Raw genomic sequence first — 22,019 nt, forward strand, 5'->3', positions numbered from 1 at the left:
TTGGCCTGTCTTGCTAGGTTGGGGAAGTTCTCCTGGATAATATCCTGAAGAGTGTTTTCCAGCTTGGTTCCTTTCTCCCCGTCACTTTCAGGTACACCAATCAGACATAGATTTGGTCTTTTCACATAGTCCCATATTTCTTAGAGGCTTTTTTCGTTTCTTTTTACTCTTTTTTCTCTAAACTTCTCTTCTCACTTCACTTCATTCATCTGATCTTCAATCACTGATACCCTTCTTCCACTTGATCGAATCGGCCACTGAAGCTTGTGCATGTGTCACGTTGTTCTCATGTCATGGTTTTCATCTCCATCAGGTCATTTAAGGTCTTCTCTATGCTGTTTATTTTAGTTAGCCATTTGTCTAATCTTTTTTCAAGGTTTTAGCTTCCTTGCGATGGATTCGAACATCCTCCTTTAGCTCAGAGAAGTTTGTTATTACTGATCTTCTGAAGCCTACTTCTGTCAACTCGTCAAAGTCATTCTCCATCCAGCTTTGTTCCGTTGCTGGTGAGGAGCTGCGATCCTTTGAAGGAGAAGAGGCACTCTGATTTTTAGAATTTTCAGCTCTTCTGCTCTGGTTTCTCCCCATCTTTGTGGTTTTATCTACCTTTCGTCTTTGATGATGGTGACCTACAGATGGAGTTTTGGTATGAGTTGTCCTTTTTGTTGATGTTGCTGCTGTTCCTTTGTGCTTGTTGGTTTTCCTTCTAACAGTCAGGACCCTCAGCTGCAGGTCTGTTGGAGTTTGCTGGAGGTCCACTCCAGACCCTGTTTGCCTGGGCATCACCAGCGGAGGGTGCAGAGCAGCAAATATTGCAGAACAGCAATTTTTTATACATATTTCTTTATGTATATAGGCAATATTTCTGGTAAATTCCTGGGAATGAAACTTCTCATTCCTACATTATCAGCATTTTGAACTTTAGTAGGTATTGTCAAATGATTTTACAGTAGTTGTACCATTTACACGCTCACCAGCAGTATGTGAGATGTCCTGTTGTGATCAATCTGATTGTGTGAAATGGTATCCTACTGGGTTTAAATTTGCCTTTCTGTAATTGCTAATGAGGTTGAACATCTTGTCTGTAAATTTGCTTCCACTTTTCTATTGGGGGAAAATTTTTCTTACTGATTTGTGGATTTCTTTTTATTATTTGGCTAAGAAACCTTTATGAGTTATATATACATTGCAAGTATCCTTTCTCAGTCTGTGGCTTGTGTTTTCACTCTTTTAATGTTGTCTTTTGATGCACGGAAGTTTTAAATTTTTCTGTGGTCAAATTTATTCATCTTTTCATTTATGGATTCTACTTTCTCCGTCTCACTTAAATCCTTCCTTATCACAAGATCATGAAGATATTTTAAAATATTTTGAATAGTTTTAAAGTTTTACCTTTCAAACTTAGGTCTCTAGTCACCTTTAATCATACTTGATATATTTAGGGTGATTTAAGGTAAGAGCTCTGTTTTATTTTTGACCCTACACTCTGCATCTTTTAACAGTATCCACTGTTCATGTACACGTGGATTTGTTCATGGGCTGTCCATTTTATGTTTCTTTGTGTCTTTTTAGAGCCTTACAATACCTCTCTATCTTAACAATATAGCTTTATAATAAATTTGAATATCTGATAGGGCAAATCTCCCGAACTTGCTCTTCTTCAGTTATTTTTGGTGGGGTGGGAGCAGGGAGGAGAGGTGATATTTTTAGTCCTTTTATTTTCTTTAGGAATTTGAAGATTAATTGTTAAGTGACACACACACATACACATACACATGTACACACACACACACACAGTTCACATTTTTATGGGAATTGCATTTAATTTATAGATAATTTGAGGAATGTGACATCATGGCAATATTGATTATTCCTTTCCATGAATATTGGATTGTCTTTATTTATTCAAGCCTTCCTGTATTCTTAATTAATCTTTGCATCATGGGGAGGAGTGTGGTGCTGGCTGTTAACCAGGGTGGGGACTATTGACTAACATCTTTGCTACATCTGGGGTATAATAGTCCACTGGTACTGGGGCATCAGGCTAAATAGATGAGAACAGATAAAGTATAAAAATTGGGTAGGTTTCCAGAGACCCAAATCTGTTTGGGTTAAAGGCAAATCTGTAGTTTGAGTGTTCAGATTGCCATCAGTAGGCTGGTTTGGCAGGCAGAGAAGGTTGACATCTCTCGATCGGGCAAAGGATTCTATCTCTCAATTGGGGTTAATCGGGAAACGACTCAGGCATAGAGCATCAGGACTCTATAGTCATATCTCAGCCACAGACTAACTGGACAGTATGGCCAGAATCTAGTCACTGAAAGACTGGACAATAGGATAAAACAAGGTACAGAGAGACAAAGTAAAAGGGAGTACCACCTGGTACTGAGACTAGAAGTACAGGGATATCAAGAGAATGCTACTGAGCCAGCTCATTCCCAGGCAAAGGCTTATTATGTTTCATTCTTCAGCACCAGCACAAAGGCTGGAATATCAGTGGAGATAAACCCAAAGGTAGGAGAGTCCCAATCAGGGGGAAGAGGGAAGGAGTGGGGAGCCCTATGGTTCCTGACATGCTTTGCTCCCTGATGAGGTAATAGAAAGCTGAAGCAGTATATAGCTGATATAAGAAGATTCAATGTAGATAGAAAGAATATCTTAAACTAATGTCTGGATAAAACTATATTAAATTAAGTATTGTTTGACAACAGCTAAGAATTAATGAGAAAAGTCCTTAAATATCTCTCTCTCTATATTTTTTGAGTGAGGGTATCACTCTGTCATCCAGACTGGAGTGCAGTGGTGTGATCTCAGTGCACTGAAGCCTTGACCTCCAGAGCTCAAGCAGTCTTCCCACCTCAGCCTCCCGAGTAACTGGGACCACAGGTGTGCACTTCTGTGCCCAGCTAATTTTTGTTTACCTTTTTGTAGGGATAGTGTCTCATGGTGTTGCCCAAACTGGTCTTGAACTCCTGAGCTCAAGTGATTTTCCTTCTTCAGCCTCCCAAAGTGCTGGGATTATAGATATGAGCCACTGTGCCTGGCCAAGTATTTACATTTAAAGAAATCTCACTTTAAAAGTGTTTCTGTGTAAGTGTAGAGCTTAGAATTGTGAAGGCTATATTTATGTTTGTCTATTTCAATAAATAATTTATCTAAAGATGAATCAACAGCTCACTTACCTTTTTATTTCAGTAAACTGAAAATAAGAAGCCACAAGCTCTCAAAGTACCTAAGACAAAATACACTATTTCTTGAGGGCTGATCTATAATCCTGAGTCTATAAAATCATAGAAGAAGCCACTGGGTTTTTAATGTTAGGAAACTGATTGGGAAACATGTTAAGTATTGATGTGTAGGAAAGACTGAGGTGTTTGATGACAGATGAAAGTGAAGAAAGGCTGGTGAAGCAGGAGATGGAAGGGCACAGTCTGGGGACTGTGTGTGTGTGTGTGCATGTATGTGTGTACACACGTGCGCATGTAGGTGGATGTCTTAAACCACAGCACAACCTGACTAGAAGTGTATGTTGTTGTAGAAGTAATAACTAGGCAATGAATGGTTTCAAAAACATGTTAGAAATTTAAGTTTCCTTTTGAGGTAATATTCCATAGAGATTCTAAAAGAGGTTGCTCATAAATCAAATTGTGAGGAGCTCCAACTTAATTATAAGAAAAAAATAACACAGTTAAAATTACCCTTAAAGTAATTAGCATAATTTTTTTGTTTTGTTGTTATTTAAATAAAGAACAGAACTGTTGTTGCCCTGAGGGAAAAATGGATAACAGGCAGTTTGCTCATGTGGCTTATACTTTATGTATGTGTGCATCTATTGTAATAGTAACAGATAATGTCTTCTAATAGCTCATGGAAGAAATTAGTTTCTTTTCGAGCAAAATGGTAGCCTTGTGGAAGCTGACAAAAGTCATATTATAATGATTTTTGGCTCAATAAAGTAATGATAGCTTGGAAAAAGTAAAGGAGTACGGCAGCAGAAGAAAGATGACTGTAACAAAACAAATTATTTGAACAAAAGATAACTGTTTCTTTAATTGGATTCTCATGGAATATTGGTTTAAAATATGCTGACCAAAGGCAGTATCTGGAAGACAGGAACTTAGGATTTCTGAATCATAGTTCTCCTAGCTTGGATTGAATTCAATTCAACAAACTTTTGTTGAGCATCTACTCTGGAGCCAGGTGGCCTGAGTGTGGTTCTTGGTTCTACTATTCTACCTCTCTATCAGTTTCCTCATCTATAAAACAGAGATATAATAGTAGTCTTTATCTTCTGTGATTTTTTTTTTAGGATAAACAGAATTTTAATGTATGTAAAGTACTTAGAACACTGTTTGCCACTTTTGCACACACAGAAAGTCAACTGAATTAGAGACCGGAAACTGAAAGGTGCTTATACTGTCTTAGTGGGAGAGACAGATAAGAAACCCAACAATTTCAGTAGTATTTTCTGATAATACCAATAACATGTTTATCAAAAGGTTGCTATGGGAACCCAGGAATTGAAGAAAAAACGACCTTAGGGGGATAGTTTTCTGGAATAAAATTCAAAAAAGGCTTTCAATAGGAAAAAAAAAATCCCCCAAAAGCTCAGGAAACAAAAAGTAGACAAAGTGAGAGGCTGGAACACATTCATTTGTAGCTTTTTGAGCTTCCTTCCTTGCTGGACCTAACACTACATCTGGTCACCTTTTAGATACTTGGTAAAAACACGATAGAGATCATTTTAAGTTCTGATACTATTTTCATGTGTACTCTCAGTCACAGCATCTAGTTGAGACTAATGGAATTAGAATAACCAGAATAGCAAACTACTATTCCAAAGTGTAGTGCTCTGTGCTGTTAGACAAAATATTGACTTCTGGGTTGAGTTAGAACACCACGAAGGAGCAGCACTTTTATGTCATGGCCCTTCTTTTCTACTCTCTGTCAATTTGAATGAAGCAGAAGAGAGGCAAGTATTATCCAGTTAGAAATAAAAGAGAGGGCCGGGCACGGTGGTTCATGTCTGCAATCCCAGCACGTTGGGAGGCCGAGGCAGGTGGATCACTTAAGCTTAGGAATGCGAGACCAGCCTGGGCAATATGATGAAACACCATCACTACAAAAAAATACAAAAATTAGCCAAACATGGTGGTATGTGCCTGTGGTCCAGCTACTCGGGAGGCTGCTGTGGGAGGATCACTTGAGCCTGGAAGGGGGAGGTTGCAGTAATCTGAGATGACTCCCCTGCACTCCAATGTGTGTGACAGAGTGAGACCCTATCTCACTAAATAAATAAATGGATGAATGAGAGAAAGACATTTTAAACCAATATGTTAAGAATCACACTTTAGGATAACCTTGATATTGTAATAATTTATGATTCTCTAACCTGTGAAAATTGTAAATTGTTAAGCAATAAAGAGAAAATACACTTGTGGATATGCAGAAATGTGAGTTTCTCAGTGCATGGGAAGCATTGAGAGAAGGAAGGTGTCCATCCAGTCTGTGGTCCCCTGGTCGTCCCTCGCCTCCCCTATGTATCTTGTCTTGCTTAGGTTTTGACCTTTGTCTTCATGTTATCCTGCATTGCTATACAACAATTGGGGCATCTTGTGGTTGAAGTTTTAAGGTAAAATGAAACCATGGTTACTCCTTGCTGTTTCATTGGCTGGCCCTGCAGTTCTTCATGCTTACTAGCCCCCTTCCTGCCATTGCTACTACAAAAGCCCTCCAGACCTCCTTTGGTGGGAGGAGACATGAGAATGTTTTTTTATCTCACTGACATCCTACTGAAATCAGGGAAAGACAGGGCAGTGTAAAGCTTTCAGCTCATTCTAACCTGGCAGACTTCTTCACCATTGCAGCTGTATGCTGTCTACCCAACACTGGCTTACAGAATCCAAAATGGCTCTCCCAGAGGGCTTCAGAAGCTGGGCAGAAGCTCCTAATGTTTGTGGAGACACCCCCTTAGTCTTTCTGAATGTTTTACCATCTTACCACCCCATCTTCTGTCCAGCCCCATGCTGACACACACTTGTACACACTTGCACACACACATACACACATACATAGACAAACTCACACATTCCCCCACCCCTCTCCCCCAACATACAGACACACCTTCAAGGGCCCAGACAATGTTTAATCTCTAGTTAGACACTTTGGTCCTTATTTCATCCTAGAAGGCAATCAAACTTATATTTCTTTTCTTTGAGCCAGGGAAACTGCTTTAATATTCTCCTTTTGCCATATCTATGAGTAACTTTCATATAAGCTCTCAATTCTACAGTTCTGCATGGTCCAAGCAAAGTCCTTTTGGACCATCAAAACAAAACCGTTTCTCTCTCAAGCTCTTAGAGAATGTGGGTTGCAAAACAATTGCTTCTGCAAAGCTAATTTTTAAATTGCTATTTGGAAAATTATAACTGAACAATAATGCCTTTGTCCTTGGCTGTATCTGTCTGTCTCTCAAAGCCAAAGCTTTCAGCTTTGCTGGGTAAAGCAACAAGATTAGTAAGAATAAAAATAAATCACATAATATTTCAAAAATATTATCCTGTTAAATCTTATTACCTAGACCTGAGTTATTTCACACAAGAAGAATACTCAATCAGCTACATCCTTAAGGTTGTCATAACAAATCAGGCTGATTTCCACACATATTTATAACCGGAATTATTAGTTTTTCAAAGATATGTTACAGGTGAGCTAACATTAGATGTAGAAGGGAAACTTTTGATCAAAGTTTAAATTCTGATTCCTCTTGTTCACTTGGATGTCTTTACGATTCATTTAAACTTTCCAAAATCTTATTTCTAAAACAGGCATAACAATTCACTATGACAATGCAGCATATTGTCTGTACTTTTGGATGCTTTCTGGAAGGTTGTCAGCAGCCAACTAAATTCATTATTAGAGACTTACAGTGAAGGGAAATGGTTCTTGAGGTGACCCCTGTTCAGTCCAGAAATAGCAGCTCTTTATTTAGGTAATTACCATTGTGAATTGCTGCTAATGGCCACGTTAGTGGAAGTCTATGTTGTGATGAGGACCACTTTAACATTGGGGTGGTTTTGATTCTTTCTGCTACTTAACATTCAGAATGATCCATAGCTGAAGCTTAGTTACTATTAAAAATCTACAGTGTTTTGCCAGTGGGAATTCCAATTATTATTGCCTGGTAATTAAAAGACCTGCTTGCCTCAGAGTTTTTGAAAGAACAAAATAATACATGTGATTGTTTCAAACTTCAACTCTATTTGAATGTTAGGTGGTTGTTATTAATTTTTACTAACTCTCTTACTGTACTCTTTTTCTCCCTTATCTAGTTTTCCTGCTCTCTTTTCAATGCTTTGGGAAATTCATCTTCATAAAGCTTGATTTTTAATTGAAGCAAATTTTTCTCAGAGTCAGCACCACAGTGTCCAAGGTCATCTGTTGTCTTAGCATCTTTTCCACTGTTTAATCTGTGTCTTAAGGCTTCTTTGGTTCTTTTTGGATCTGTGATTGTTTCTGTTTTCTGAACATGGGATATAGTTCCAGATACACTGCTTTTTTATACTGAACTACATTCTGCGTTGCTTGGTTTTGTTTTACTTTGCTTTTCTCTAGTATTTTTTGAGCTTAGGGTTTATTTTTATCATTTATAAATTGGTTTGAAAAAAGATTAATTCACTCAGTGTTCAACATTTGAATCAAGTGACAATTATGTGCAAAATACAGTGGTATTGCTGGGATATGGTATGAGCCCAGAATGCCCAGGCTTCTGGCTTGACTACAGGATCAGTGGTGCTGTCATTCACCAGGGCTGGGACTGCTGGAGGTAGAGCTGAAGTGGAAGGGAGAGTTGGGGCAGAATGAGTGGATGATGGACAATTGCTGTTAGCTTTGCATGTGGGAAAGTTTAAGGTATCCAGTGGCTGGTGTGGTACCTTAGAGAGGCTCTCACTCCAAGTGGCAGATCTAGGTATCATTAGTATAAATACAGTAATTGAAGCCAAGGGAGTGAATGAAAGAGAATGGAGATGAATTCTCTGTTGAATGATCACCAGACTTGCCATGTTTTTCTATAGATAGATACCCTGGTTGGAAGTTTGTGTGTGTGTGTGTATGTGTGTGTGTGTGTGTGTGTGTGTGTATGTGTATTGTGTGTGTGCATCCCAGAATAGCCATAGTGGTGTGGAGGTGTGTATGTCTTCAGTGTATTTGGTAGGCTTCCTGGAAACTACAGTTTTAAAAATGATTGACAACCATAGGCTGGAACTTCTTAACCATGTTAACATGAATTTATAGTTTGTTTATTGTGGGGCTGTTCTGTGCATTGTAGGATGTTTAGCAGCATTCCTGATTTCTACCTACTAGATGCTAATAAGTTCCTCCCACCCAATCCTCATCCCCAGTTGTGGTGACCAAAAATGTCTTTAAGCATTGCTAAATGTTCCTTGGGCTAGATAATGCCACCTGAATAAGTTCTTCTCTGAATTTATTTACAGCATTTTGGGAGGAGCCACATTAACTTTTATGTTCCAGAATGCTTGAAAAACACATTCATGTCTGCAGTTATCCTGACTGATATTTAGGAAGCAGTTTACTCCTCCATCCTGGAGGATCAATTGAGTAATTTTACCATTAAAAAAAAAATCATTTGCTGCACATAAAAGTACAGATAGCTGCTAGATGCAAATTAAATTTTGTTTTACTTTATATGTGTATGATATATAAATGAAAAGGGGTGACCAGGACATGTTGTACTCCAAATAGTGAAATAGCCTGTAGTTATGACTCAGTCATTTCAAAGGAATTGCTGTCACTTCTTTATGTGTCAAATACATTTTAAGGCAGACCATCCCAAAGAGTACTCTTGGGGTGGAGGTAAGAGGGTGGAGTCCAAGTGCGGTGAACATGAATTTTGTAATAGTGATTTGAATGTAAAAAGTTTTAAAAGAGCTAGTGCTTAATATTTTTAAACTTCATTTATAAATTCCTTAAAGCAAAAGAATATAAAAGTAACTTAATTACCTGCCATGGAAGCTAAATTAACTTACACCTTGAAAACCTCCTCTTAAAATAACTCAGATTTTAAAGAGTCATTTGTAAGGTAAGTTGTGGCATTGTTGTAAGCACCTGCCTGTATGTGTGTTGCTCTGAAATAATGCTATTATTTATTCTATTATAGAATGTAGATTCTGTGAGGGGAAGGGTTTTGCCCATTTTCTTCACTTTTCTTTCTCCACCTCCCACACTTCCTTCATGTTACAGTACACAGTGGTGTAGAGTGTGGGCTGGGTTGCAGCCTCAGAGAGTAGTTAGTATCCTGTTTTAGTTGGCTCTCCTTCTTCTCTGACCTCTGCCGGCCTCCCCAACAGCCACTGCCACCACCTCACAGCCAATATTCTTGATATTCTGGTTGAGGAGATAACTGAAGCCTAGGAGTTTAGATCAGGGTGGTATCACTTCTCACAGATGAATCTTTACTTCTGGCATTTACTCCTAACTCTCAAAAAATTGTGGTATTAAATATTTTATATGACTCCTAGAATTGTGGCTGTAAAGTCCCAGCCTCTGTCTCAATCTTCTGTCAAATGAAGGAAGAAGAAAAAGATGAATTCTAGCTTTTGCAACATGTATTCAGTCCACGCTCAGAGGCCAATTCCTACCTTCCCAAACCGTGATCACAGCCCTTGATTGACAGAAATGGGAGGGAAAAGGGAGAGGGAGAGAAGAGAAGAGGTTTTTCATCTTGAAGACAGGAAGAGTCATATCTGGAGAGCTGAGGAAGGTGGGAGGCCTCCTCTGTGTACTTCTGTTGTCACTTGATTGGAATGACTAAGGACATTTTGAAACCAGAAACTGCATTTTATCACTGAATGCAGAATTGGGTTTAGGATCATCCAGGCTTATACAACATAGGGGGAAGATGGAGTGACTATCCTGTGGTAAGAATGAATCCATCTTATAAGAGTCCATGGCACAGTGGATATACAGCATGCTTATCTAAGCTTAATTACTGGTTCCATGTATGTACTTCGGCAAGTCACTTAACCTCTCTAGTCCTAACCCCACATCTGTGAAGTCCACTTAGGGTTATGAAGATTTAATGTAATTATGATATAAAGTGCTTAGTAGTTATAGAAGCAATTGCTATGGTTTAAATGGTGAATAAACAGATTGTTTATTGGCTCAGGAATTATGTGATAACTATTTAAGAATTGTACTTCTGGTTGTCCCGGGAGATTAGGATTCTTGTTTGGCTTCACTACTGACTAGATAGTATTAATAGTTAAGTCATTTAACTTTGTAGACCCTGGTTTCCTTTTATTCACAACTGTTGAAGTTGAGGATCTTTCATTTGGTAAGCTTGGGAATTCTATTTTGTTTTGCTGTTTAAAAACCTAGGCCTCTTGTTGTTAACAATACCTCTATTAACTAATTTGAGTTCTGACTCATCTGCTAGATCTAAATAGCCGTGGGAATGTGAAGCTTTTCACAAATAATGCTATGATTTTTCAGATAAGTTTTTGCTCTCCATGCAAATGGAGCAAATTACTTAATTGACATTTTACAATTAGGTATTAAAGCATCCTGTTCAAGGTTGGAGGACAGTATAAACTTATTTAAAATGTCTAGTGAACACAGTCTGTCACAGGGATATGGGAAAAAGGCAAAATTGTATTAAGATATTATTTGTAAGCAAGTGCTCTTCATTTCCAAGCAGTCTGTCCCTGAAGGGGGTGTAAATCATGTGTCTGTTCTGTGCTTAGAATTCATCCCTTCTGCCATATGTTTATTGTATAAACCAAGAAGATCATGTATTATCAAGAGACAACTTCTACTCCCGGCCTAAACTTTCAAATATTATTCATACTCTGTTCTCATAAAAAATTATTCTTAGGGTCTGAAAGACCATCATTTTCTTTTAGGTATTTCTGTTTGTGTATGGTATTTGCAGCAACCAACATCAACAGCTGGTTTGTTCTCTCATTTTTCAAGGTAATGGTAGGGATTTAAGTTATTAAGAATCAAATCTAACACACAAAAATACTTTGAACATGAGCTGTGTACAAATTTTTTATTGAGTTATTAACCTATTGGACATTGCTGCTGCTGTGGGGACTTTATCACATACATTTAAAAACTAATATAAACAAATGGAGAATATGAGTTGACACAGAAGAAAGGCTCAATTTTATGCCAAAGTAATAGCTAGCACTATAGCATGCTTACTGTAGGCATTACGTTGAGAGCTTTGTGTGCATTATTTCATTTAAGCATCCCAACTTTACTACTTGGTTGGGTGTTATTACTTCATCATTTTTATAGGCGAAGAAGCTGTCTCAGACAGGTTAAGTAAGTTGCCCATGTTCACACAACTAGTGAGCAGAAGTGCTAGGGGTTGAATCCAAGCCACCTGATTGCAAAGTCTATGCTGAAGTTGCATTTTAAAGTAACAGAAATTTCCTTCATACAACACTGGACTTATTTTTTTCTATCAAATGATGTGGCAAATTGAGAGATTTCTGGAGAAATTCAGGCCCAAACAATGTTATCGCTCAGATCATTCAGATCATTTTCAACATTAGCATTTAATGAATAAGACTGTGTCTTGAACCAAACATATTTATAAAAGAATTAGAGGAAGGTAACTTAATTCTCCATTCACTGGTGTCTTAGTTGTAAAACCACATTTTGTCAAGGTTATTGGTCATAAGTTATTTTAATAGCTTTTCCAAACTTAATTTTCTGAAGTTAATAAAATGCTGAGAAAAACTTAGATTATGTTTAAAAGCATTGAGTGAACTAAAACCTAAGTAAAGCTATTTACTTTGCATACATATGGCCACCATCTAAGATGGTTACTTATCCTTGAAAGGATAATGTTTAAAATAATATTTAAAATAATCTAAACCTAATTTCTTAACATTGAAATTTTTACAAAGTATAGTTATGTATAAATCTGATACTATCTTACTACAAGAGATACTAAATGAGTAACATAAATATTAAGCATAAAAGATTTAATTGGACTGTTACAACCTACTCTCACACAGTTTAAACAAAAGTCAGTTAAATAGGTTGTTTGTAAAGTTCTGTATAGTCTAGATTTCTTTCTTCTTCCTTCTCTTTCTTCACCCCCTCCTCCTCTCAGCATCATAATGATTATCATCATCCCCATCACCACTGTTATCATAATCATCATGGCTATCTTTTACATTGTTTTCCTCACAACATCTGCATCAGTAATTTAATTGTAAGCAACAGAAATTAAGGAGCAGTTTATTTAGAAAGATATCTTGTAGTTTTTAGTTTGAGGACAACCTGAAGAATGAGGCCTTGTAGAGCTGTGCCAAGACAGGCTGCTAGGCTTAAGATGGGGAACAGATGTCAGCAGATATTCATCACTTAGGGCTAAGGTCAGTTGGTTGAGCTTTGGGGCAGAGAGACCAGTCTAGTCCTGTAACACCAGCGTGCCATGCAGAGGTAAATTTTTGTGTGTGCAAAGACCTACAAACATCTGGGAAGTACCTTAGAAGAGGAGGAAACAGCAGATCTAGAGAGGAAGGTTGCAGGAAGCAGTAGATGGTCTTTTCAGGTTTCACCATTTAGGCAAATGAGTTTTTGGACCTTGTGCACACATGCTGTTTAATCATGCGTCGGGCTTTCTGGAGAGAGTTTTATTTATAATTCTTGGGCTATGTATCCATTCCTTGGTCAAGGGAATGTGGTACTCTTTGATTGACTCTTTGATTGATAAGATAACATTTTATCTTACTAGGAAAGCATAAACTTCCAAAGGAAAAATTACGTAAAGGAGAAGACATGGATGATAGGGAAAAAAGCAACATATCATGTCATATCACTTTACCATGCATAGAAATCATAAATAAAAATATTTTTCCTTTGATATAGTAGTCACAGGAGATCTTTTGCCCCCCAAAGTCATAGCTATATTTATAGTGTTTTTCTGAATATTATATAGTTTTTTAATGAATCTTGGTAAAAGAAGATTTTTTAACCATAACTTGTTTTTAATCCTATAGGAGAGGATAATAAGTTTTAGCTTTTATAGGCCACTAATTTTTTTCATGGCTTTTGTATTTTAAATAAGTTATTATTAAAATAGAAATTAAAAAAATCTACAGAACTTGAATTAAGTTAATTAATTAAGCAACATTTCATAATAAATTCTGTGCTGAAATAATTATGATCATTACTTTATTACAAAATAACTATCTAGAATGTTGTATCAGTATTAGTGTTTATGTTTTATCGAGGCATGTGCAATGTGCCTCAGGTGTCATCAAGGATGGGCATCGAATCACTGTTTCCCTTTTCATAATCAACTCCCAAAAGGTGAAAATTTCCCCTCTGGCTTCCTAGTATCCTAATATATTATTAATTTATTTACTTTATTATTTTATTATTATTTACTTTATTTCTATTTTATCCTGATTGTATCTCTTAAGGTACATATTCTTCTTTTTTCACATGTCATAGTTTTTTAATAAGATTGTTTTTGAGAATTTAAATGTTTTCCCTCTAAATTCTATATTATGAAGTGTGATTGTAATGTGAGTGATTTTTAAAGTTGTCTGTACACTAATTTTTAAAGATAATTCCAGCAGCCTGGGTGCGATGGCTCATGCCTGTAATCCTAGCACTTTGAGAGGCCGAAGCAGGAGGATTGCTTGAGCCCTGGGGTTCAAGACCAGCCCAGGCAACATAGTGAGACCCCATCTCTACAAAAATAAAAATAAAAAAATTAACCAGGTTGATGAAGTCCACCTTTGGTCCCATCTACTCTGTAGGTTGAGGCTGGAAAATTACTTGAGCCCAGGAGTTCGAGGTTACAATGAGCTGTGTTCACACCACTGCACTCCAGGCAGACTGACAGAGTAAAATCCTGTCTCTTAAAAAAACACAACACAATAAAACAAAACCAAAAACTACAAGACAAAGAAGGCTAAGGAATGCCAGAAATCCCCAGAAACTGAGAGAATCATAGATGATTTCCCTCTCAGAGTCTCTGATAAGGAAACAACTCTGTTGACAGCTTGATTTTGGACTTTTGGCCTCCTGAACTGTGAGAGAACACATTTCTGTTATCTTCAGCCAGATAGACAGACAGACAGACAGACAGATAAAATTATCTCTCTGTTTGTAACAAAAAGATCATTCCCCCTCAAATTCCCCAAAGTGTGTGAAACAACAGCTTCATTGTTAGAACAATGCTTTCTTTGGGTGTTTTGAAGAGGAGTGTTCATTGTTTAAAATGAGTCTGATTACATTGTCACCACATGTTATATCTGCTTTTTCTATATACTTTAGAAAATATCTTCTGGATTGTATACTCCTTGAAGACAGAGCTGAAGTCTTAGTTGTATTGGTTTTATACCTTATTGTACTTTTGCTAACAGTGCATTGCACCTCCATAAACTGTAATATGGAAAAGAGATAAGTACCATAATTATTTATGAGGACTGTAATATACAGATTGCTGTTAATATTTTCAAAACCTATTAGATGTAGGAATGTTTCTACTGTTTTTCAAAAATGAGTCATCAATGAAAGACTTTTCATAATTCATTCCTTTGTTTCTATTGATAGTGGCTTCTATTTTTCTCCGTTTAAGACCATTTTGATATTAAATTCTCAAATACTTCCATTTACAAAAAATAAAAGGACAAAAATTCATCAACACCTGTGAAAAGAAGGGAAAAAAAAGAAAAAAATTCGGATCACCGCTAACAGCTGATTACTAAGGAACCTGCTCTTACCGAACAGCATGCAGTGGGAGAAACTAATGTGGAGAAAATAATCAGTTTTCCTTGTTATAGGGATCATACAACCAGAAGGATTTTACCACTGTCTTACAACATACAGGGATGCAAGCCATGGATTTGGGTCCATGTGTTTAGAGAACAATGGAAATTTAGTTTCCCAAATTGGAATTTCCTCTGGACTATATCTTAGCCTCCTGAGCATAAAGAATATACCTAATATAAAATGTGTTTAATGTTTCTTATTTTGTTACTAGAGAAAATATGAAGGACATAAAGATGTCAGATGTACTATCCTAGTCACTAAAGTTCTTTTTGAACAACTGATAAGTCAAAAAGCCAGCAGTAGAAATTTGACTACTGGTTCCTGGTGGCCTGACTGTACCATTAGCGAAGTGATTTGTGCCCTGAGGCTATTTACCTTTGGTTATTTCCCCCCAAAGGCTGAAAGTTCTACAATATGCTTGTCTCTGAATTGAGAAACTGTTCATTTCTCTTTGGATCGTCAAAGTAGTTGCAAATAATAAACTTAAGTCAATAAAATGCAGAGTTAGAAAGAAAATGATCCATGTTATTTAACTTCCTCTCTTAATGTCACATTTATATGTATTGGCATGTTTCTTTGTATATACACAGTAATGCATCACTTAACGACAGGAGTACATTCTGAGAAACATGTTGTTAGGCAATTTTGTTGTGCAAATATTACAGAGTGTACTTACATGAATCTAGAACCTAGATAGCCTACTATACACCTAGGCTATATGGTATAGCCTACTGCTCCTAGACTATAAACCTGTGCGGCATGTTGCTGTACTGAATATTGTAGGCAGTTGTAACACAATGGTAAGTATTTGTGTATCAAAACATATCTAAACATAGAAAAGGTACAGTCAAAATACGGTTTATAATCTTATGAGGCTACTATGGTACATGTGGTCCACTGTTGACCAAAATTTAGTTATGGGCATGACTGTATATACACACACATATATAAAGTTGTTTGACTAAGGAAAATATCCAAATTCATAAAATCATCCATTTTTATAAAGCTTTTTTTATACTTTCATTTTTTATTTGGAAAGTTAACAGTCTCAGGTAGTTCTTCTTTGGTTCAGTTGCATAGCACTTCTCTCTGTGCTGGTGAAATCTAGTAACTCCTTATTAGGCTAAGCTAAATATACTCTGGTTGACATCTTATGTTGGCTTAGCTGTTTAGTCAGGAGGTATAATTGTTAATAATATTTAGCCATAATAAATGAAGTTGTCTCACAGTATGTATTTTAAAAAATGGCAACATATGGTTCAAAACAGAGACTCCTAATTAGACAATTATTGAGCAACAGGAAAGGATGTTTTCAAATTTGTATACTTATGGTTGTACTCTAAAATCTAGTAGTTTCCTGATGCAGTTTTATAGTTTTCTATCATTAGTTACACATACCATATCCACATTATTAAGAATAAATTTGCTCACTGGAGTTACAGCTTCTTTAATATTATTTATGTGAGACTTCTTTAAAAAGGGAAGAAATAATAATGTTTAGCCTTTCAACAAGTTAGTCTATTGAGTAGCTGCTATGCACTGATGCCCTGAAGCACAGCAGTGAAAAAACAGTCTGTCCTGTCATAGGGCTTCTAGTCTGATATTGGGCTGATTCACCACTTTTGGTTTAAAATCCTAGTTTCTCTTGTCTTTAATATCTGTCTGTCTCTCTTCATCTTTCTTTTTCTGTGAATACACACATGCTATGTGTGTATATGTATCTATACACACACACACACACACTTATATTGTGTATGTGTATATATACATATATTTTTAATTAAAGATATATAATTCATATATATTCCTTAAAGATACATATATATATATATATATGAATATATATTCTAATAAATAATGTAACAGTATAAGTATCTTGTTTGGGATAATACATATTATGTGTTAGGCTTCTTCAGAGAGACAGAATCAAAAGGAGATAGATAGATGAGAGGGGATTTATTAAGGGGTTCGTTTTATGTGCTTATCGAGGCTGAGAAGTCCTGCGACAGGCTGTCTGTAAGCTAGAGATTCTGGGATGCTGGTAGAGAGGCTCAGACTAAGTCTAAAGGCCTCAGAACCGGAGAAGACAATAGCGTTACTCTGAGAACCCAGGGCGAGGGAGTAGGGAGGCGGTTCTGGTGTAAGTCCCGGAGTCCAAAGGGCTGGAGCCTAGAGTTGTTGCCCAAGGATTGGAGAGGAAGGATATATCCCAGCCCAGCAAATAGACGGGCACATTTACCTTTTCTCCTTTTTTCCTTCGGACTCCCAGCAGATTGGATGGTGCCTGACTGCAATAAGGACAGATCTTCAAGTTAACACCTCAACTTAACTATTTGACACCTCAAATTAACCATCACAACATATATATATATATTTATTATAAAAATCTATAAATCAGGACATGAATTGTTTATATATAAGAATAATACATAGTTTAAGAATTTTAATTCTGCCTTTAAATACGCTGTACTATGTATCCTCAGTTTCCCACTTAATGTTCTGGTTCTGTATTATGTCTGCCATATTAATTTTTATCATAGAATTTTGCTTCTGTGTTGTTTAAAACAAAACAAAACACAGTGATTGACAAGGCACTGTTTCTGCTGAAAAGTTCAGAAGCATTCAAAGATCACTGACAGGTTCTGTTTTCACCTGTTCCTCATCAGCTTTTCATGGTTCAGGTGCCTGAGGAGAAACGGTCATCAAGCTGAGTCAGAGATTCACATTTTCAGGGGTTTGAAGGGGCAATGGGTTGAGACACTCCCCTTTCTGTTTAGAAGGTACCAGAGGAAATATTCAACAAAATTTTGTTATTCTTCCTTAAAAAGCATCAACCTTATAAACATCTTTTCATCACTGGCCTGTAGTTCTGTTGAATAAAATGTTCTAAAGCAGCAAACACTGGGTCTGATGCATTGGGATTAAAGGTAAGGATCAGGGGAGCAGCCCAAGGGGGCAGGATGCCCAGATGGCTCTGAGGCTCCCCCAGGCACCGGGAGAGTGAGTACCTGCCTTTTCCCAGCCCCAGGTTGCTGATGTGGGGGCTAGTATCTAAGCAGTGATCCTGATGAGGGGAGTAGACAATGCAAGGTGTGTACATGTATTCCTTGATGTATTATTTGATGAGAGTTAGTAAAAAAAAAAAAAGCATCCATTTTAGCAGCACTCATGCATTCTATCACTGATGCTCAAGTTAACAACATGAAGACATAAATTATAGTTTTCACCTTTACACTATAACTCTTGGGGTTATAATTTTCTTCCAGACTCCCCCCCAGTTCTTTCTTTCAAGCTGTAGTTAGAATGTAGGTCTTATGCTTCAAGTTACTGTTTGCTACTTTATTTGCAAATGTTTTTTCCTCAATATGAGGCCATTGCTGTAAGATGTCCTGGCATGGGGAGTGGTATCATATTGTTGTTTCTAAAAGTGGTCCTGAAACAGTTCAGTATTGAAGGCAGTGTAGATATACTTAATATTAATCTCCCTACTTGATTTTGTTAAAAAACCTGACCTTTGACATTTTCTAGATTAGATATTGGACTCTTTGATGGTTGCAGCTTATTGAGAATTTGGAGATTTGTCTTGAATGCCTTTCTTCAGCCATTCCTCCCTCCCCACTGTCTTGCTCACTGATCAGCAGCTTGCTGCTGCTCCAGGCCAGCTGCAATATTATGGTTTCAGTGTCACTGATGCAGTCAGTTGTGTTCCGATTTCAGAATTACGGTTGGCAGTCCCAGGGTAAAGTGATACGCTTTGGCATCATAAAGTAGTAGGACCGGGGAGCAATAACATTGAAAGCTATGTCAAGATTCCACCCTCATGGAGGTTTCCTGGTTACATTTGAGGCTATGGTTTAAAATACATGAACTTCACATAGTATAGGTAAAATGTGTGAAAAGGGTGCATTTATAAATACAACCACACATATTTATAGGTCATACAATTTTATAGTAGATGTGAGAAATGGTCATTTTTCTTTGAGACAGATTTATAAATGATTTCTTAAGTTATTTGGGTCTCCAGGTAGCCAAAAGAATAATGATACCCTAACATGTTTCTTTTAATTTATTGGAAATAACGATGACATTAATCATCATCAGAACTAAAGGAATACTGTAAAGTAGATTCAAAAACACCAATTTATATGCTTAATAAAAATTAATTTATGATGAGTAAAGCCAAAAACCCAATTCTGAATTTTATTTTTGAATGTAGTTAAGATGCACCAAGTGAAGGTGGAGATGTAGGTAACCTCTGGGACCATGACAGTAGTGATGATGAGGAGATAAATATCCACAACTCCAACCCCACACCATGACTCTATGAAAAGAACTTCCTATCTTATCCTCATCATTTAGGTCTTTGGATTTTCCAGCCCCTATTTTGTATTGGTCCTGAATTAAACCTGGTTACTTTCATGGTATCACCTTTATTTTCTTCCTTTGCTTTAAAACATTGGTTGTGGCTTTTTTACTTCCTCTTCATACCTGTTGATATACTGGTTCTAGACACCACTCTCACCGCTAGTTGCCTGGCCCAGCTGCCAATACTGATGGCCAAAATAAGCAATTTAGTAAAAACTGGTGGTAATGGTGGGTGTGTGTGTGTGTGTGGGGTAATAAAATACAATCTTACCATTTATCTTTTATGTAATGTTTTGAGAAAACTGTATTTTGGGTAACTTACTAAAACTTCTTTTAGTCAGTAAAACTGCATCTCATCCATTGCGGATGTTCTTGGTACAAGATTTCTCCTATGAGGGACTACAAATTATTGGGTCTCTTGAAACTGGAAACAGACTCTCACTCTTCCAGTAGTATATAAACACACTGGAGGGCTCCTGGTAAGGGCCCTAGGAGTGCTTCAGAAGTACGGTACATCACCAAGTACAATATGGGGAAGAGCTTCAGAGCCATAGAATCCTTTTTCCTGCATATTTAAAATTCCAAATGCCATAATTACCCATTTATGATGTCATTTTGGAACATATAGCAAGACTACTGAATGCTTAAATTTACACATTATCTTGACTAGTTCATTGTTTTTCTGGGTTTTAGAAACACGTGGTGAAGATATGGCTCAAATTTCTTTTGAACCACTGGGTCTGCTTTGCTAAATGTAACTTTACAACAAAATGGATGTTTATACTGGTAAATATCCACAAGATATTTGGGAAGGCCGGAATGGAAGTCTGCCTGATTCGGTGTATAATTTTGTGGGCAAAGATAACATAACAGAAAGTGCATCTTGATATTTGGAAAAAAAAGATCATTTTGCCAAAGATGTTTCCTTAAAGTATAGGTTGCAAACTCTTGGACAGAATCTGGCCTGGGGAGACATGTTTTGCTTGGCTTTCATAGTATTCAAAAAGAATAAAAAGGAAATGAGTTTGGCCCCCTAAGTCAGAGACTGTGTTCTCTGGTTGTCCACACCACCTTCCACTGCTTATTACCTTAGTTATTCCCATTACTTCTTGAGGTCATGAGATATTTGTTTCGTGACTCTTGCTAAATGAAAGCTCTTTGCAGTCTGTGATTTGTGTACCTCATCCTTTAAGTTGTTGTCACACTGGGAAGATGAACCTCCTTTTCTTCCTTTTTCTTTTTATTCTTGGCTTCTTTTCCAATTCGGGCAATAGCAGGCCTCAAGTGGACTTTGGGAAAGGACAAATGGAAGGATAGGAGGAAAGCACGTCCATGCTCTCCAGCAGTGGTCCTTGGCTGTCAGAAGGGATGGAGACAACCAGGGGAAAGCATCCTCACTGCCAGTCTGTGGCCAGGGGAGGAGGGGGAAAGAAAACTTGTTACTCAACTTGCCTTCCTGTCTGCTTGCTTCTTGTCCCTGTATTTTTCAGACATTTGCAGCTGAGGCCAATTTATCCCTACTCATTCACTCAGCAAATAGTTTTGAGGTCTGCTGAATGTGGAGCATCATACCCTGAGAGTGGTAGGCAGTAGGGGAAGATACCACGAGAATACACGAATCCACCACTATCATGGGTCTTCATTTCACGAGTGTGGTTTTAGCTTACTTATGAGACTTTCACGTTTCATCTGTATCCTTTCTTACCCAGCCTTATTATCTCCCTAGAATTATTATTCTTATTTCTTAAAGGTTAGCTCTTCGGTTGAGAGTACACAGTGGTTGCTTAACACTTTCTTCTGGATGTTAAGTAGATTATTCTTAGAGACCTGCTTTTCTTTTGAGTGATCAGGATAATTTTCAGCATTTTTTTTCAGTAGGCTCTATTAGCTTTAGTCTATGTTTTGCTTCCTTTACTAATCTTTGAATAGGGCAGTATCAGTTTGTACAGGCTCATTTGCCCATAACCAGAAGGTGGGGTTCGCTTTGATTCTGCTCTCAATTTGTTTGCTGTGGGAATCTCCTCAGGTTTCCACCCAAAGGGTAGAGCGTGCAGTTCCCATCTTGATCTCTGGTGTAGAAGCTCTGCTGTACAGGTAAGGTCTTCTCCTGTGCTGCCAGCTTTCCACTTGTTTTTCTGCCACTGAGCTAGGGTCACACACTGAAGGGCCTGCAGAGATTAGACAGATGAAACAAAATTAGTGAAGCAGTATGCAACCTATGGTAGCTGTGGAAGGGATTTAAAGGCAGTATTTCTAAAGTGCTTTGTCCTTTTAAGTGGAATTTGCCCATGACCAAATATGGTATTTGGGTATTTAGTATGATGCCCTGGCTCTAAAACAGTGTTTCTTAAATTTTTCTGAATTTTTTTGACCGTGGTAACACACAAACACACACGCACACACATATGACTATTTTAAACCAGAAGTCCAGTATTTTACATCTTTTGGAGTCCTCTGAGAATCAACTCTCAGAACTGAGATTCCTTATTTCAGGGATTTGAACATTTAGTAGCTTTTGGCAAATATATTCCCAAAATATTTCTCAAAAGACTTAATGGCAGTTTACATGGCCTTTGGCAATGTAAGGAAGATTTTAACTATATTCCTTTGTCAGAATTTAAATTTAAATTACTTTGTGACATTAATGGGTGAAATGCCACTTTGTCCTTACTTTTAAACTTATTTTTAAAAATTAATGGAGCAATAGAACATTTTCTTTGTTTAGCAGTGGTATTTTCTCTTTTATAATAACTATTTTATTCATAGACAATATAGCAAAGTGATCAACTTTTTATGATGAGGTGAGCCAAGCACAAAATCTTCTTGGA

General features: G+C 37.2%; 1 protein-coding gene across 26 annotated transcripts in view; it reads left to right on the top strand.

The window, feature by feature from the left end:
• BCKDHB (branched chain keto acid dehydrogenase E1 subunit beta) overlaps positions 1 to 22,019 on the top strand; it is a 360,067-nt gene that overhangs the window by 134,180 nt on the left and 203,868 nt on the right. Inside the window, exon 9 of one of the 26 annotated variants that reach the window (NM_001424042.1) lies at positions 14,608 to 15,342. The exons of the other annotated variants lie outside the window; for them this stretch is intronic. Within the exon in view, the coding sequence (NP_001410971.1) occupies positions 14,608 to 14,631 (24 nt within the window). The 3' untranslated portion in view covers positions 14,632 to 15,342. Of the gene's footprint in view, positions 1 to 14,607; positions 15,343 to 22,019 lie in introns of those variants that run through there. 26 annotated transcript variants of the gene reach the window in all.

This window comes from Homo sapiens, chromosome 6, assembly GCF_000001405.40.
Source record: "Homo sapiens chromosome 6, GRCh38.p14 Primary Assembly".
NCBI lineage: Eukaryota > Metazoa > Chordata > Mammalia > Primates > Hominidae > Homo > Homo sapiens.